The sequence below is a fragment of the Homo sapiens genome, chromosome 12 (genome assembly GCF_000001405.40).
Source record: "Homo sapiens chromosome 12, GRCh38.p14 Primary Assembly".
Taxonomy (NCBI): Eukaryota; Metazoa; Chordata; class Mammalia; order Primates; family Hominidae; genus Homo; species Homo sapiens.
In genome coordinates, this window is record NC_000012.12 from 104,640,270 (window position 1) to 104,657,806 (window position 17,537).

The 17,537-nt window shown below is 47.0% G+C and overlaps 1 protein-coding gene across 4 annotated transcripts in view, besides 2 other annotated features; it reads left to right on the forward strand.

Moving 5' to 3' along the window:
- Window positions 1–17,537, forward strand: part of CHST11 (carbohydrate sulfotransferase 11) — a 305,067-nt gene that overhangs the window by 183,322 nt on the left and 104,208 nt on the right. The gene's annotated exons all lie outside the window — the stretch shown is intronic.
- Window positions 2,948–2,997: an enhancer, noted in NCBI's record as "active region_6928". NCBI's record gives its function as "activates an Ori minimal core promoter by ATAC-STARR-seq in GM12878 lymphoblastoid cells {active_cell/tissue: GM12878}" and the evidence as "EXISTENCE:reporter gene assay evidence [ECO:0000049][PMID:35858748]".
- Window positions 3,895–3,944: an enhancer, noted in NCBI's record as "active region_6929". NCBI's record gives its function as "activates an Ori minimal core promoter by ATAC-STARR-seq in GM12878 lymphoblastoid cells {active_cell/tissue: GM12878}" and the evidence as "EXISTENCE:reporter gene assay evidence [ECO:0000049][PMID:35858748]".

The window sequence follows — 17,537 nt, forward strand, 5'->3', positions numbered from 1 at the left end:
TGCACACAAATGTTTATGGCAGCTTTATTCATAATTGCCAAAACTTGGAAGCTACCATGATACCCTTATACAGGTGAAGGGATAAACACACTATGATGCATCCATACAACAGAATATTATTCAGCAATCAGAAATATGCCATCCAGCCACAAAAAGATATGGAGGAACCTGAAGTGCATATTACTAAGTGAAAGAAGTCAATCTGAAAAGGCTACGTTCTGTATGATTCCAACTATATGACATTCTGTAAAAGTTGGCAAATGTCTGTAAACAGCAGTAAATGACTATGGGGGCAGTAAAAAGATCAGTGGTTGCCAGGGTTTCAGGAGGTGGGGAGAGGGATGAACAGGAAGAGCACAAGGGATTTTTAGGACAGAAAACTACTCTATGCAATGCTTTAATGGTGGATACATGACATTACACAAAGAATGAAGTCTAATGTAAACTATGGACTTCAATTAATAAGAATGCATTGACAGTGGCTCATCAGTCACAACATATGTACCACACCAATGCAAGATATTAATGATAGGGACAGGAGGCAGGGAAATTCTGGGCAGAAGAGGGTTGGTCCCCAGCGAGGTCCCTACCCTCAAGCTGAAAAGCCTAATACTGTAGCCCAAAGTGAGACCTTACATCCCTGTTTTCCCGCTCAAATGTTGCCTGCCCCGACCCCCATCCTGTGCCCATAAATACCCCAGGCTCAGCCAACAGAGAGGGGAGAAGCAGCTGGACATTGGAGACTACAGTTGGATGTCAGAAGCAGCTTGACTTCAGAGGGACAGCTTGATGGCATAGCTTTAGAGATGAGTCCAATCGGGGACCACTGGACTCCAGGGGAAAATTACCTTCCCACTCCTTCCCCTTTTTAGCTCCCCTTCCTGCTGAAAGCCACTTTCACTGGCAATAAAATCCCCCACATTGGCCATCTTCAAGTCATTTGTGTGACCTCATTCCTCCTGGATGCCAGACAAGAACTCAGGTGCCACAAATGTGAATGCAAAAGGGTGTCTGTCACATGGACCATCCACTGAGCTGTTAACACTTAATCTGTCCATGGATGGCAAAGCTAAAAGGGCACTGTAACACTTCTTCCGGGGCTTCAGGGGTCATGGACACCCTCCCCTAGATGCTGCCACAGGGTCAGTACAGAGTTCGCTCTTGCTGGCACCCAAAAGCGTTCACCCCCACCTCCTGCACCCATTCACCTGTGTTCCCCCTCCTCTGAGGGGTGGAACAGTGAGTGAGTGGAATTTGCCCCTGCCAGCACCCATGTACTCCAGTTCCTGCCTGCAAAGGGGTCAGGGAAGTATCCTGCTTCATTAATAATGGGAAACTGGGGGTTAAGGTATGAGTGTATGTATATGGAAGCTCTATATACTTTCCACTCAATTTTTCTGTCAACCTAAAACTGCTCAAAAAAGAGAATCTATTAATTTAATTAAAAACAAAACTGGGTGGACCCTACCCACCTTCCTACCAGCAAACATGAGAAGGAGGATGGCTGTTCCCCAGTGCTGACGGGGGCACTCAACCTTCTGGGGGCAATTTAGCAATGGATAAGAAAATAAAAAGTCTGTAATCACCTTGATCTGGCACTTCTAGGAGTTTATCCTAAAGCCATGGTTCTCAACCAGGGGGGATTTTGCACCCCATCCACCCCAGGGAGGACATTTGGCAACATCCGAAGATAGTTTTGATTGTCAGAGCTGGGGAGCTGCTACTGTCCTCTAGTGGGTTGAGGCCAGGGATGCTGCTGAACGTCCTATGGTGCACAGGACAATCCTTACAACAGAGTCATCTGATCCTGTACGTCATTAGTGACACTTCTGAGAAGCCCAAATGAGGAACTGGGTAGGTACATAGTACTCATCTCAGTATTGTTCACAGTAGTGAGAAATTAGAAATGATCAAAATATCATGTGGCAGTAATTAAAGGATGGTATATCCATACTATGGGATCCTGTGCAGCCTTTAGAATGGCAGTATGGGAGTATGATCTCTAATATGAAAAAAAATGCTCATGAGACATACATGAAAAAAATTACAAAGCGACATGCATAGAAGAATTGTATCATTGTAAAGACAGAGTACCTATGCGCATTTCTTTTTTTACTTTTTACAAATTAATTTGATTTTTTTAAATTTTGAGACAAGGTCTTGCTGTGTCGCCCAGGCTGGAGTGCAGTGGCGCAATCGTGGCTTACTGCAGCTTCATCCTCCCAGGCTCAAGCAGTCCTCCCACTTCAGCCTCCTCAGTAGCTGGGACTACAGGCGTGTGCCACCATGCCTGGCTAATTTTTGTATTTTTGTAGAGATGGGATTTCACCATGTTGCCCAGGCTGGCCTAGAACTCCTGGGCCCAAGCGATCCTCCTGCCTCAGCGTTCACAAGTGTTAGTATTACAGCTATGAGCCACTACACCCAGCCTGTTATGTATCTCTGAGAAGACACATAACAAAATCTCAAGCCTGTGTCTAGGTGGTTGGAATATAGGTGGTTTTTAACTTTTAAAATTATTTTGGGGATTTAGATTTTTTTTTTTACAATGAACATTTATTACTTTTATAATTAAAACAAGAATACTTTTTAAAATTAAGAAATTATGCAACTAGATATGTAGTCAAGTAGAGGTTGCTTAAATACTAAGGTTTATTTTCAACTACTAATTACTTTCAAAAGTATTTTAAGGAACACATTGTCATACCAATTAGATGCCCACTACATGCAGGTTTTGTACATTTCATTTACTTCTCAAAAAGCCGTGTTGTAGGCTGGGCATGGTGGTGCACACCTGTAATGCCAGCACTTTGGGAGGCTGAGGCGGGAGGATCACTCGAGGCTGGGAGTTCAAGACTAGCCTGGGCAACATAGTGAGACCCCTGTCTCTACAAAAAAATTAAAAAATTAGCTGGGCATGACGGCACATGCCTGTAGTCCCAGCTACTTGTGGGAGGCTGAGGCGGGAGGATAGCTTGAGCCCAAAAATTTGAGGCTGTAGTGAGCTATGATTGTGCCACTGTGTTCCAGCCTAGGCAATAGAACAAGACCCTATCTCTTAAAACAAAGCAAAACAAAAAACCGCAAACCTTGTTGTTGCTCCTCACCACCCATTTTAGAGATGAGGAAGCAGAAGTTTGGAGGGTTAGATACGTCAGATGCAGAGATGGGGTTCTACCCTGTGTTTTCAAAGTCCAAGTCTTTCCCTCTGTACCATGGTAGGGGCAGTGTGCCACTGTAGTGGGTAGCGTGTTTGTGTGGGATTATCAGTAACAGATTTCTTCCAATATGCTCTTTTCAAGAACTCCAGCACATTTAGGGGATTTCCATTTGAGGAACTTAAGAGGACATTCAGAGACTTTTTCTTCACACACACACACACACACACAAAGTTCTCATGACTTTTTTTTGTTGTTGCACTTGAGGAGTTTTTCCTATCTGGAAAATTCCTTTGCCTGGAATGGCTTATTCTAGATCAGGGATGGAAACATCAGTTGTGCCTGAGAATCTGGTCTGGGTCTCATGAGCGTGTTTTCCAGCTCCTGGAAAGCCAAGACTTCACTGTTTTAACCCAGGGTAAGAAGGGACCTCTCTAGAACATTTCTCAGCTGTCATCTCATAAAGAGACTTGTCAAACCTGATTCCTCTGGTACCAAGAGGAAGCAATTTGAATTTTCTTATTTCCTCTGGAGTTTAGGGGTGCAGTTAGCAAACAAAGGAACCTCTTAGGTCTCTCTGCCTTTGCTATCTGCTAGTGGAGACTGCTTTTCTTGGACGGTTTCTGCAAGGAGCTGTCCGGCCAGTTGTGGATTGGCTCACGGGATGGAGAACTGCTTCCTCTGAAGAGAGGGACTTCTGCTTCCTCCTCACTGTGCTTATTGCTGCTCAGAGGCTGCTGGGAAATCTCTGCCGCAGCCACCCTCCCAGCGTGCACCTCCTGGATATCTGTCCATGGAAGCTCCTGGACACCCCCTACCTTCCCTGCATCTGGGTGGACTCCCGCATGCACTTGCTGCATTTCGTCTCAGGTTGCCTTTTGACTCTCCACCGCTTATGATTCCACTCGGTGGCCTCCCTACTGATGTCTTTCCTCAGCCATCTTGTAAGTGGTTTCTCCTTGGTTCCAGCCCTCACTGAGGCCAGATTCTGTTTCCTGCCTTCAGTGTCTAACGTGTGGCCAATCCTCTTTCTTCAAAGGCAGAGTGGCCCTGCTTGCATCTGCCAAAAAGACACACCTGGGCTCCCTGCAGCTGGCGTGGTGCTGCCTGGGCATCCTGCCAAGCCAGCATGCCCTCTTTCTAGGGGAGCTTTCCTGCTTCTGGTTTTCAAATCCTTGAAGCAGCACTGGGGAGGCGATGAAGAGGGTCAGGTTTGGAGTCTCTGGCTGAGTCCTGGCCCTGGCCCTGGCAGGCAGAGTGCAGCTGGGGTGGTTCTGTCTCAGAGCCCGGTGGCAGACTGACCAGTGTAGGTAGGGGAAGACTGGCTGGACCTCCATCTCAGATCTGTCCCTTGAAAGTAGGGTTGGGATGAGACCCCTTAGAGGCTTCAGTCTGGAAGATAGTGCAGGAGCAGAGCTGGTAGGATTTGCTGTAGAGACCAGCCCTGTGCTGGAACAGGCCCATGGCTTATCTGCATGAAACCTGAGGACAGATCACTGCAGCGAGCCTTCTTCCACTTTTTTTGTTTTGTTTTGTTTTTTGAGACAGAGTCTTGCACTGTCATCCAGGCTGGAGTACAGTGGCATGATGGCTCACTGCAAGCTCTTCCTCCCAGATTCACGCCATTCTCCTGCCTCAGCCTCCCAAGTAGCTGGGACTACAGGCACCCGCCACCACGCCCGGCTAATTTTTTGTATTTTTAGTAGAGACGGGGTTTCACCATGTTAGCCAGGATGGTCTCGATCTCCTGACCTCGTGATCTGCCCACCTCGGCCTCCCAAAGTGCTGGGATTACAGGCGTGAGCCACCACGCCCGGCCTTCCACTTTTAAATTAATAATAATAGTTCCCATGGTTGGAGGGCACCCACTCTGAGCCAGGTACTTGGCAATAATCCTCTGAGGTGGAATCTGTGATTCTCATCCCCACCATACAGGTGAGGAAACTGAGGCTCAGGAAGTTAAAGAACTGACCCAACAGAGAGCCAGGGGGCTGGGCCAGGACTGGAGCTCAGGCCTCCTATTCTGCTTTGCAAGAAATATTTGTGTTGGAAGCCCAGCTGGGCTTGTTGGAAAAGCAACCTGCAGGTGGGGGTGGGCACCGCAGTTGTCTTTATTTTGGCCCCTTCTGAGTTTGCTGTTTGTCTGCCTGGGCTCTGGGGGGCCCTTCCCACCCACTCACCTTCCCCTGCTGGTCCTGGCCTCCAAGGGCTCCAAGTCCTTCCCCCCCACCCTCCCCTTGGCTTAGCTGTGGACTAATCCCTTTTCCCATTAGGTGAGCCAAGACAAGATTAGAGCTTTATTAAAAGGAAATTAAACTAGGAAATGAAAGGATAAACAAACCTCAAACAAGAAAAAACAACAGCACCAAATAAGATGAGTTGACAGAGCACCACTCTTTATCCTAAAGGGTATCCATCTACCTACAAATTAGGGTGTGGCTCCCAGTGGGGCCATCATCTCTTCTTCCACCCTCACCAGCTCTGCCTGTCATGATCAAGCTCGTCATCATGGTGGCTTCAGCAAACATGTTCTTTGGGGACCTTGGTGATGGCACCATACTCTCCAGCGCTTTGCTCACACTAGCCCCTCCCCTGATTTCTTTCTGAGTCCCGCATGCAGGATGCTGCCGGCTCAGCCAGTGCCTCCCTGGTGAATGGACCCAGGTAATGGCTCCCATGCTGGCTTCCCCTACAGGGGAGAAGTTGCATTTCATATCCTCTATTCCACTTTCCAGGGCCCTGCGAGATCCACTCCCCGCATCCCGTTAGTCTGCCCTCCTTCCATGCCTCGCTTCCACCCCACTTTCTCCTCCTCCTTTTCTCTCTTGCTGCAACCTCTTGGTGGCCTTTGCTGGCAGTGTTCCTCCTCTCACCTCCACTTCACTTGGCCAACACCTACTTAGTCTTCAGACCTTGTCTTAAATGTTGCTTTCTCAGGGTACCTTTCCCTAACCTCCCTAAACTGATTTCTCATGGAACCCTGGAGTTCACCTTCATCGTAGTGGTGATTAAACCATTATTTCTGGCCGGGTGCAGTGGCTCACCCCTGTAATCCCAGCACTTTGGGAGGCCGAGGTGGGTGGATCACGAGGTCAAGAGATCAAGACCATCCTGGCCAACACGGTGAAACCTCACCTCTACTAAAAATACAAAAAATAGCTGGGCATGGTGGCACGTGCCTGTAGTCCCAGCTAGTTGACTACAGAGGTTGCAGTGAGCCGAGATTGCGCCACTGCACTCCAACCTGGCGACAGAGCAAGACTCCGTCTCAAAAAGACAAAATAACTTATTATTTCCTTTGCACCCCTCTCCCGTCCCAGACTCTAAGCTCAGTGAAGACCAGGACCAATGTGCCAGGCTCAGCGCTGAATCATCAGAGCCTAAAGTGTCTGATAAATACTACTTATTCATTCATCCATTCATTTACTCAATCATTCATTCCACAGATAATCCCTGAGTGCTTATTCTGTGCTGGGTACCATGCTAGTTGCTGAGGATACAACAGTGAGCAAAGCCAAGTACCTGCTGTCAGACCAGCCACTCATTCTGTGTGTGTTCAATAAGTGATCAACAGGAAGAGGAATGCCTATTCATTCTCACATACACTTTTAATGATGAGCATTGCCAGCCAATAGACTGGCTGCCTCATGTGGAGGTGAGCTCCCCATCACAGGAAGTATTCAATAAGATCCTGGATAAGAAAGAGCCCATTGTCATGATGCTGCAAGTGGAGGCTCCTGAAGGTCCCTCTTACCTCCACGATTCTCTGGTTCTCTGGAGGATGCCATCGGGTGGCTGCTGTTGTGTGGCTGTCAGAGTCCGGCAGCAGCATGCAAGGTAGACATCTTTGTTTTTTCCTGATGGAAGCCAACTGGCTTCTCTTGAAAACCAGAGCTAAACACTTGCCTTTGATATAAAATAAATTTTCATTTAAAAAATGCCAGGAAATCTATTTTTTTAGCTATATTTTTTTCAAAGAAAAATGATCATTTTGGAAAACACAGAAAGACTGAAAGGAAAATTGGAAGGACTTTAATTCCTCTACTCAAAGGTAATTATTGTAAACATTTAACAATGGCCTTTTTGATGAATATATAAAAATATACATTTTTTTAAAAACAAGATCACATATTCTATCTTGTTCCTTTCATTTAAAAGATTGTGAGTACTTTTTACTTTGCTAAATATCGTTTCAAAATAAGATTTTTACCTCTGTGTGATATTTCCATATATATATGTTATCTATTGGTATGCTCTATCCCCCCAAAAGTTAGCAGCTTAACAATAATCGTGATCTCTCCTGATTTCTGTGGGTCAGGAATTTGAGAGTGGCTTAGTTGGACATGTGTGGTGTGGGGTCTGTGGTTTGGGCTGTAGTCAGATGTTGGCTGGGGCTGCCATCATCTGAAGACTGGATTGGAGCTTTCAAGGTGGTGCCCTCACATGGTTATCAAGTTCGTACTTTTCCACGTGGCCTTTCCACTAGACTGCTTGAGTGTCCTTACAACATGGTGGCTGCCTTCCCCAAGTGAACGGTCTGAGAGAAAGAGGCAGGTGGAGGATATGCCTTTTCTATGACTTGGTCTCAGAAGCCACATGCTGTCACTTGCATGGTATTCTGTTGGTCACATAGGTCAATCTATTGTGTTTTGAGAGCATGTGTACATAAGGTATGAATACAAGGAGGTGAAGTTTATTTGGAGACACCTCAGAGGCTGACTACTGTGTATCCTCTTTCTGCAATAATTGCTTCTTCACCAGTCCCCTCTTGTTGGGTATCTATATTGTTTCCACTGTTTCACTCTCATAGGGCACGTACATTCCCGAAAACCTTAGGTACCTGATGTGGAACAAGTGCCTGATCTACATTTGAATTCACTTAGTCCAACCAGAGTTTCAAAGTTACAACTTAGGAGCAGAGTCATTTTGGGGCCATACCCAAAGCTGCCTCCCATTTGGACCATTCCCTTTAAGCATTTTCACAGACCATCTCCTGAAGGGATGGTCATCGTGGTTCGGTAGGTTAGCAAGGTCTGGCAGGAAACAAAAATCAACTCAGAGACTCTCATGAAGGCCCCACTTATAAAGATCTGAGCAGGGGGCTGGGCATGGTGGCTCATGCCTATAATCCCAGCACTTTGGGAGGTTGAGGCAGGTGGATCACTTGCGGTCAGGAGTTCGAGACCAGCCTGGCTAACATGGAGAAACCCCATCTCTACTAAAAATACAAAAAAAAATTAGCCAGGTGTGGTGGTGTGTACCTGTAATCCCAGCTACTCGGGAGGCCAGGGCAGGAGAATCACTTGAACACAGGAGGTGGAGGTTGCAGTGAGCCGAGATCACACCACTGCATTCCAGTCTGGACAACAGAGCGAGACTCTCAAAAAAAATAGAAAAGAAAGATCTGAGCAGGGACTAGCAAACCAGCAAGATCTGAGGCACCCTGAAACTGGCAACAGAGATGAGCCATTGTCACCCTGAGGCCTGAAGAGCCGGGGTGACAGCTGCCTGAACTGCAGTGGAAGCAGGGGAAATACACCCTTACTCCAATCAACCTCCCCTTCCTGCCTCTCTTCCTTTCTGTCCTCTTGCTGGTTCCTCCTGTTGGCCAAACTGAAACAGAGGTCAGCCAGCTGCCAGCATGGAGCCCGGCTGATGTAGGATGGGAATCAGCCTCAGGGATGGGGGAAGCAGAGTAGAGAAGGGTGGGGAATGGATGGGGCTAGGGGTGGGAAAATGAGGGAATGGGAAAGCCAACACATTCAGTCAATATTCTTGGAACATCATTAAGACACAGAACAGTGTATCGGAACAGAGGTTACTGACTCCTGCCCTATTGTAGATCTGGGGTAATTTTATTATTAATAATAATCTTAACAGCAATATTAGCTATCCTGTGTTAAGTCTTTTCCATGTACAGGGCATTGTATTACATTACAGGGCATTTAACACATACAATTTCTAATCTTTACAGCCAATCTGTTAGGCACATGTTATTATGAGTCTCTTTCAGGCAAGGAAAAATGAGTTTGGAAAGGCTCAGTATCTGCCTGAGGTCACAAAATCTGTAGTAGAGCTAGGATTAAACTCAGGTCTGTTTTACTCTAAACTCCAAGTGCTTCTGTCTAAAAGCAGTCTAGACCAACCTAAGGGGGAGTAGGCGAACCAATGTGGTTTCTGTATGAAGCTTTCAATGCCTTCTTCCACAGTGGAGCAATAATTTTAAAAAGAAGAAGGAAGAGAAGAAAATCTTTAGCATGCCAACTCATCTGAACAACTGCCCAGGAGTCAGAGTATAGTGTGTTTGGCAAATTATGAGTTTTGTGTCAGTGCATACAAAGTAGGCAAGAAGTGAGGAAAAGATCCCTTGAAATAATGGGATGGGGAATGCAGCACTCAGCATGGTGAGCTCACATAATAAAGTCACCTTGGAGAGCTCAGTAAATTATTGTGCAGAGACTGCTGCTGATAGACGAGGCACACTGGCATCCCTCAGTGCCCCTGGTGGCTCTGAAAACAGTGCCCTGGCAGCTCTGGGCACCCAAAGGGCACTCCATCAATTACTTGGTTTTAGAAGAAAATTTCCCCCACAGTGCAGATGGATGGATGAGAGAAGGATTGGCAGAAGTCAGAGAGGGCAGGGGAGAGGGAGAGAGTTGCAACAGAATGACATTACTTTACACTTGGTATTTTGCAATAATGAAAATTACCTACTCTATCTTCAGCACTGGATGTGTAGCAAAAAATTTAGGAACTTCTCTGGTCTATATCCTTTGGATGCTTCCTGAAATGGAAAAGTGGACTTGATGAGATTGTGCTGGGGAGGTCACAGGGTGGAGGATGGGCTGGAGAGTGGCCAAAAGCCCACAGTCTCCAAAGACTTTGGCCCAACTCTTGTGTCAGCCTCTCCTTGAGCTGAAGCTGGAACCTGATGGGTTTGGCGGATTTGTTTGTGTTTTTCTACCAGGTAGAGAATTATCTGTTTATACCTCAGAACTCTGGATGCCATGATTGCAATACCTCATCAACCCTGAGATGCTCAGATGCTTGCCAAGTTAATCTCACTGATTAGAACCTATGTCTATGAGAGGAGTCTCTAGAAGGGTCACCAGAACTCTCTGCTTATTCACTTTGGAGACGCGGGCACAGTGCGAGGGGGAGTGGGACACAGGAGGGAGGAAATGATGGTGGGGGTGGGCAGCCCATGTGTTCACAAAGTCTCCAGGGCACTAAAGAGGTGACCAGGCACCCATCCAAGGCTTTGCTAGCCAATGGACAGTTCCACATAGGCTGGAATTGGAAATGGAATTTGATCTGAGCCTAAAACGTGAGAGGCACAATAGCACTTGGGGTGAACTTTGGCCCAGGATCCTGCACACAGCAGGTGCTTCCTCAGCCAGCATTGCTAAGAACCTTGCCAGTGTGGAGGTGGTTAAGAATGGGGACGTGGGAGCCAGAGGGCCTGGATTTGCATCCTGCCCTCTGTGATCCTGGGCAAGTCACAGATAATAATCACCCTGCTTCATGAGGTTGTTGCAAGTGTTAAATGATTTAATACTTGTGAAGAGCTTAGCACATAGTATTTATTAGTCATTATTATTATGTCTAATTTTTAGCCCCATTTTCAAATAGCCAAGCCAACCTTTGATACCCAGACGTTTTCAAGACCCTCAGTCTGGTGGCCCAATTGCCGATTCATCTCCTGGTCCAAAGCCATCCAGCACATCACCATCAGATTAATTTCTAAATTAACCTAAAACTTTGTGTTCATTGCTTATTTGCATTTAAAAAATTAATACCAGATGTAAGAGACCTGATTTGCAATTTGGCATCAGTTCACATGAAGATGATCTGTGGCTTCTCCCTGAAAAAGTTAATATGAGCCAAGAATGTGACACTCTGGTTTGTTTCTTTGGAAGCTGCTTGGATGCATATAATGTAATTAACAAGTATTGAACACCTACTCTGTTGGAGGTGCCGTGCCGTTCATCACTGCACACCTCAACAGTGTTACCCACCACTGTTTTTCGGAAGAAAAACAGCTTAAATAAAATATTACCTTGGAACCCTCGCCAAAAGGATTGGGGTAGGAGTGGGAGAAGCCCAGACCTCTCTTGCTCAGCCTCTCCTTGACCTGGGGGCCAGTCCTGCTTAGGATTCTCTGGCCTTGACCCCTGGTCACTCCTCCTTTGTGCCTTGAGAAGAACTGACCAGAAGTGACCCACCCAAGGCCATTCTAGAAGGTTCTAAGGAAACAAAACCAGGGCCTATGATTCCCAGCCCAGCACCCTTTTTCCTTTTCTTGCTTTTTATTGCTCTTTGCGCGTAATTGTAAAAATGCCTCCTGCTTTCTACTGCCTCTTGATTTCTCCCCATCTCAGCTCTTGCTAACCCGACCCATTTTCTTTTCTCATGCATGGATGCTGCTCTGAGAAGCTCCCAATCGATGCATTTGGGAAGATCCCCTTGCAGGGTTCTCCAACTGCACCTCATCTAATAGAGTTAACATTTCGTTCTCATTCTTTCCTTGCATGAGCCACAGCCCCTGACTTCTGCATTTCCTGGCTGGGTGACGTTAGACAAGGAAGATACTTTTCCTGAGCAGGGATAATTATACCCACTTAGCAGGCTTGTGAGGCACAAAGGAGGTGGCTTGTGTGACTGTCCCTAATGCAGTCGCCGCTCCATGCCACGTTCCATCCTTCCCACCCACCCCCAGCTCTTAGAGACTCAGGAAAAATGTGAAGATTTTTTAGTGTTGTTTAACAATCATTTACATTTTCAGTGCAATCAAACTTGTAGTTTGATTTAGATGAGAAGAATAACTGCCAAATAAACTAAAAATGGCACGGACAATGATGGTAATTGTCGGCAGCGGGATAATTGATCTAATTACACAAAGGAAAGCAGCTCCCCGATGAGTTGAGCCCGTGGGCTCCTGCAGGCAGCAGCTCAGGCCGTGTCCCAGGTCCTGAGTGGCTGTAAGAAAATCAGAAGTTTCAAGACAAGGTGAGGAGACAGTCACGGGAGCAGCATGTCTTCAGGCGGAAATTGTTCCAATTTCCCCACAAATGATCACTGATGTGTATTTTGCTGGACTGCCTCTGGAGAACAGAGCTCAGATTTGGAATGGTTTAGATGCTATTTTATTGCAGCTGTATTTACTGTTTGCTTTCCCAGCCATGGTGAGGAAAGTGGTACATTCCCAAGGCCCAAGACAGAGGAAGTGATTTACAAACCTAGCCCAGGAAGGGCCACCCTGTTCATCTTGGGGGAAGACCCGAAGCCCCAACAGGGCTCCCGGGTTGAAATGAAGCTGCTAATGGATGAGTCTTGTTGGTTTCGATCCTGACCTCTGTTTGCCTGTGGAAGCTGGCCCAAGGGGCCAGTGGCTTTGCTCAGGACAGTCTCATCCTGGCCAGCGAAGAGGGAGGCTGCCCTGCTTGGCCTCTGCTCCCTACACGCTCCCTACACACTCCCTACGCACATCTTAGTCAAACTGCTTCACCTTGGGCCTAATGACCACTCGTTCCATCTAGGGAGGCAGTGAGCTTTTTTTTTAAATTGTAAAAAACACATAACCTAAAATGTGCCATCGTAACCATTTTTAAGTGTACAGTTCTGTAGAGCTCAGTACCTTCACACTGTTGTGCAACAGCTCGCCAGAGCTGCTTCATCTTGCAACATGGAATCTCTATACCGTTTGAACAATAACTCCCCATTTCTCCTGCCCGCCAGCCTCTCGTAACCACCATTCTACTTTCTGTTTCTATGAGTTTGATGCTTTTAGATACCTCATATAAGTGGATTCATATAGTATCTGTCCTTTTGTGACTGGCTTATTTCCCTTAACCTAATGTCCTCAGGCTCCTCCATGTTGTAACATGGTAGGATTTCCGTCTTTGTAAGGTTGAATGATATTCCACTGGATATATGTACTGCGTTTTCTTTCTCCATTCATCTGTTCATAGACATTTGGCTTTCTTCCACCAGAGTTTACCCTTCTTTAACAAGTACTGAGTACCTACTGCGTGGTAGACAGTACCCCATTATCTTAGTGCTAAAATGTGTACTCATGGAGGGGCAGTATGAGTGAATCCGAGTACCTGAGAGGAAAGAAAACAAACGCCGTCTCCCACTGAGTGAAAACTAAATGTGGACCACCATCATAGCCACCCCATAATACAACAGCCCATGTTTACTGGGCCCTTACCATGTGCCTGACAGTGGTCTGATGTCTGTATTTGTGTCTCCATCTTATGTGATCTCATTCAATCATTAACAACCCTATATGCAGAAACCTTCTCCATCAACTTAACATTATCTCCAGTGAGGAACGGAGGCTCGAGGAGATTAAGTGACCTCCCGAGATCATGTAGCAGGTAGTGGCAGAACCAGGATTCAAACCCTGGCCATCTGGCTCTAGGTTCCTGAACTGCAGATGCAGTAGTTAGACTGAAAAACCTCAAACGGGTGCTGTGCTTCTATTTCACCTGCAGGGGGCCAAGATTCTTTTCCCAGGGTAGTAAAACGTCCCCGACACCACCTCTGCCCCATGGTCTCGAGCAAGCCGTAGATATGTGGTTGGTTTCCCAGTTGCAGAATGTAATGGAACCCTGTATGGGTGTCAGGCTGAAGAGGGTCATCCCACAAGTATTGAGCACCTCCTATGTGCTAGGTGCCGGGGATGCAGAGGTGATCTAGAAGGCAAGGCCCTGCCTTCAGTAAGGGGAGCTTTTTGAATACAGGGCCAGGGAAGTCGGGGGAGGGAGCTCCAAGGCTACCTGCAGTCACTGGAGTCTTGGACAAATAAGCCCTGGTGTTCAGAATCATCCAAGCTGGTCCCAGTACTTGGTAGAACCCAAAAATTTTCCATTGAGTCCTCTTTGGACAGTTGTATAATGGACAGTTGTATAAGAAGGTGTAGGGCTGAGAGCGTGAGAAGCTGCTTGATTGTCTCAACAGGATGATGATGAGATCCACAGAAAGACACCCATGGACACAGTAGGAAGTGACCAAGGACGTGGAAACATGGGGGAGGGCTGTGCAGTGAGGACAGTGCAGTGCACTGCTGGGTGGTCACTCCTGGGGTCCCTGGATTCCCCATGGTGGTAATACACAGCACAGAGTGAGAGTCCAGAGGAGGAGTCCACCTGGCAGGGAAGCTTGCTTTGCCATTCCTATGGGGGGTAATGTCCCCCATGCCACCCCCTGCCCCCAGCCCAGTGCTCCAGAGACTTCGGCCTGTCCACTCACCAGGAGCAAGGAACTGTACCTGCTAACCCCAGCTCATAGCTGAGGCTGGATGCTGCAAGGTCACACGCAGACAGACGCCAACCTCTAGCCTCCCCACAGAAGTGAACTGAGTTAACCATGAGCCCCTCCACCCCTGCTTTCTATTTATTTCCACTGCCAACATCCCCCTAGCTATGAAGTCATCACCAGGCCGCTACCCCCTCCCCCATCTCCAGAACAGGAGTGGTCATAGCATCCTCATTATAATGACTGAATGAAAGAAACTTGAAGCATCTGGTCCTGTGTCTGGCACTTAAGGAACACACATGTAGCTCTCCTTTCTCTCATCCTTTGGCTGTTTGCATGTGTGTCTTGGATCTCTGTCTGTCTGTGTCTCTCTTATCTCTTCATGGAATTCTGGGAAACACTCAGAAAGTGGTGGTTGGTGAGGGCACATTCATGTCCAGTAATAGCTGATGGAAATGGCAGAGGGCTTTGTCAAGTTGACGGGGAAGGTTTCTGCATGCCTTGCTTTTGGTGGAAGGGTGAGCGACTTCGCAGAGCCTAGAGCGGGCTTCCAGCTGCTCAGTACAAATCCCCCTGACCTTCGCGCCGGAGGCGCGGGCAGGTATTTTCCACTTCACAGCATTTCTTTTAATTCTTTCCTGATTGATGCGTGAGATGCCAGTGTGAAGGCAGCTCTGCCCCTCCAGCCTCGGCAGGATAGCTAGGGATGGATTCCACCACTGCTCTCACTCCCCCCAGCATCCCTTTATCCTGGATCCCGGGGTTTCTCAGCAAAGGTTTGAGGAATTTGACTTTCCTTTTGGGAGCAGGAGTCCTGGGGAGGTGGAGAAGGTGGTGGGAAGTAAGGGACAGCCTCCTTGCTTTTCATGGCCAGAGTTCACTAGCAAAAGTGGGGCTGCCTTGCCTCACTCCTTGTTGCTCAGAAAGATATACCAGAGAGTCAGTTTAACAGAGAAACAGTGTTACGAGCAATGGGTAAGAGATGTGGGTAAAGAAGGGAGTGGAAATGTAATCATTTTGAACCTAAGGAACACATTTGAGTTAAAAAGTCCCTGAGTACAAAAGGGGTGCTGTGCTCGTGTATAAACCAGGGTGGGCCCATTCAGGTATAGGTGACAGAGAGTTCTTCTGCCCCGCTCCCTGTATAGTTGCTTATGTAAATTCAGGGTGTTTTTCTCTCTTGTTGCAAGAAGTCAAAGTTGGAGTTACTCTTTTAAGTCAGCAGCTCAAAAATGGCAGAGCTGAAGTCTCTATGATTTTCTTAGTTTTTTCCTCTGGTTCCAAGATAGCTGCTATAGTGCCATCCGTCATGTCTAGATTCCAGGCAGCAGAAAGAAGGAAGGTAAGCAAGACGAAAGGGGTAGTTCCTAGACCTAGAAAGCAAGACTTTCGAACAAACCGTAAAAGATTTCTGATTGCAATTCTTTGCGTAGAACTATGTCAGTTGGCCACTGGTAGGGAGATTTGGAAATTTGGTGTCCACCTCGAATCAAATCAAACAAATGAGTGAGGAACAGAGGGAAGACCAGATGCTGGGTAGGTAATTAGCAACCCTGCTGTAGCACTTCTTTTGGATTAAATCAAAGTCTAGCCGCATATCACCCCTCCACCCACTTTTCCTCTTTTTTTCTCATTCATTTTCTATCTTTTTTCCAAGTGATGCATCAGGCTCCCTACTGCTGAGGTGCGGTGGTCAGCCTGGGATGAGGCCCTGGGTCTGTCTTCACAGACTAAAGATAGTGCCTTGACCTGAGCACAGCACTCAGGCTCCGTCTCAGGTGGCCACAGTAACTTTGCATAGATCCAGTCTTATCATCTCGTGTCATCTCCTATGAAGCCAACTATGGCATGCTGGCAGAGCTCAGCGTGCATGCGGTGACTCTTCGTTGGCCTCTGTGGAATTTGCACCGCAGGACATTCCCAGCCCCAGACTTACTGCGACTGGTCTCACTAACGCACAAGTAGCCCCTGCCGGCTTTGCTCATGGGATGTTGGGATGTTGTCCTCAGCCAGTGAGACACAGATACACACTCACAAACCATCTTCGTGACCACAGTGGGGGGTTGCTGGTTTAAAGCCAGAGACAGTGGAGGAGAAAGGAAGACCAAATCCTTATTTTTTTTGTTGCTGTTTACTGTCTTTCTGTTCAACAAGCTTTCAATGACCCCATCTAGGTGTTAAGGCTACAGAGGTGACAGTCCCAGTTCCCTACCTCTAGTTCATACTTCAGAAGTTTCAATGTTTCTAAGATATGGTGTTCCTTACAAAGGCACAGCATGCTGGGAAAGACCTTCAGGCATCGTCTGATCAAACTTCATCCTTTTTTTTTTTTAAATTGATGAAGAAAGCGTGGCATTGGGAAATTGAGTTGCTTAAGGCCAGAAAACTTGGAAGCAATGGAGCCCAGCCTCAGCTCCGGGCTGTCAGCCCAAGCCCATGCTGCCATCCCAGTTTGTTTTTCCTGTTACCTAACAGTCAAGGGGAATCATATTTCCTGGTTTAGCAAGCATCTTCAATCCACTATTTGCATGTCTTTCTTCTCATCTCTGGGAGCGAAACAAAAAGAGTAAACCTTAAAGGTTTTCACATCCTTCACCCTAAATGACCACTTACGCACATTTTAAGTTATTGTCAGCGATTTGTGTTTTAAAATACAAGCCTTGCTATGTTTAGCTAATTCTCCTGGGTGAGAGACATGATTGATTAGAAACTTTAACAGCCGTTCATGGAGAGAAGTATAAGTCTTTCAGGATCACGCCTCTCACCCAGCCTTTGTTGGGAATGGAGAATTGATCTGGGAGCCACAGCACTTCTTTCTTCCCTGGCAGATGAAAAAAAAAACCCTCGAGATCATTTGCAGGCCAGCCCCGCTCCCATGTTTTTTCTCTGAAGAGCATGGGAGAAATAATGCATGTTCCATTTCACAGCTTGGAAAATCAGCAGTAGTTGTTTCAGATTGCTGGAATTTTGGAAGGATTTTCTCTGTACTTTTCCAAGTGCCCCATGTGTTTGAATACCCAGGTGATGGTGGCGCTGGCTACCTAGACAGCTTCTTCCACCTTCACGCTCTGGACTCCGATGGCTGGACTTGCATTCTTGAGGGTCCCCAGGCTCCAG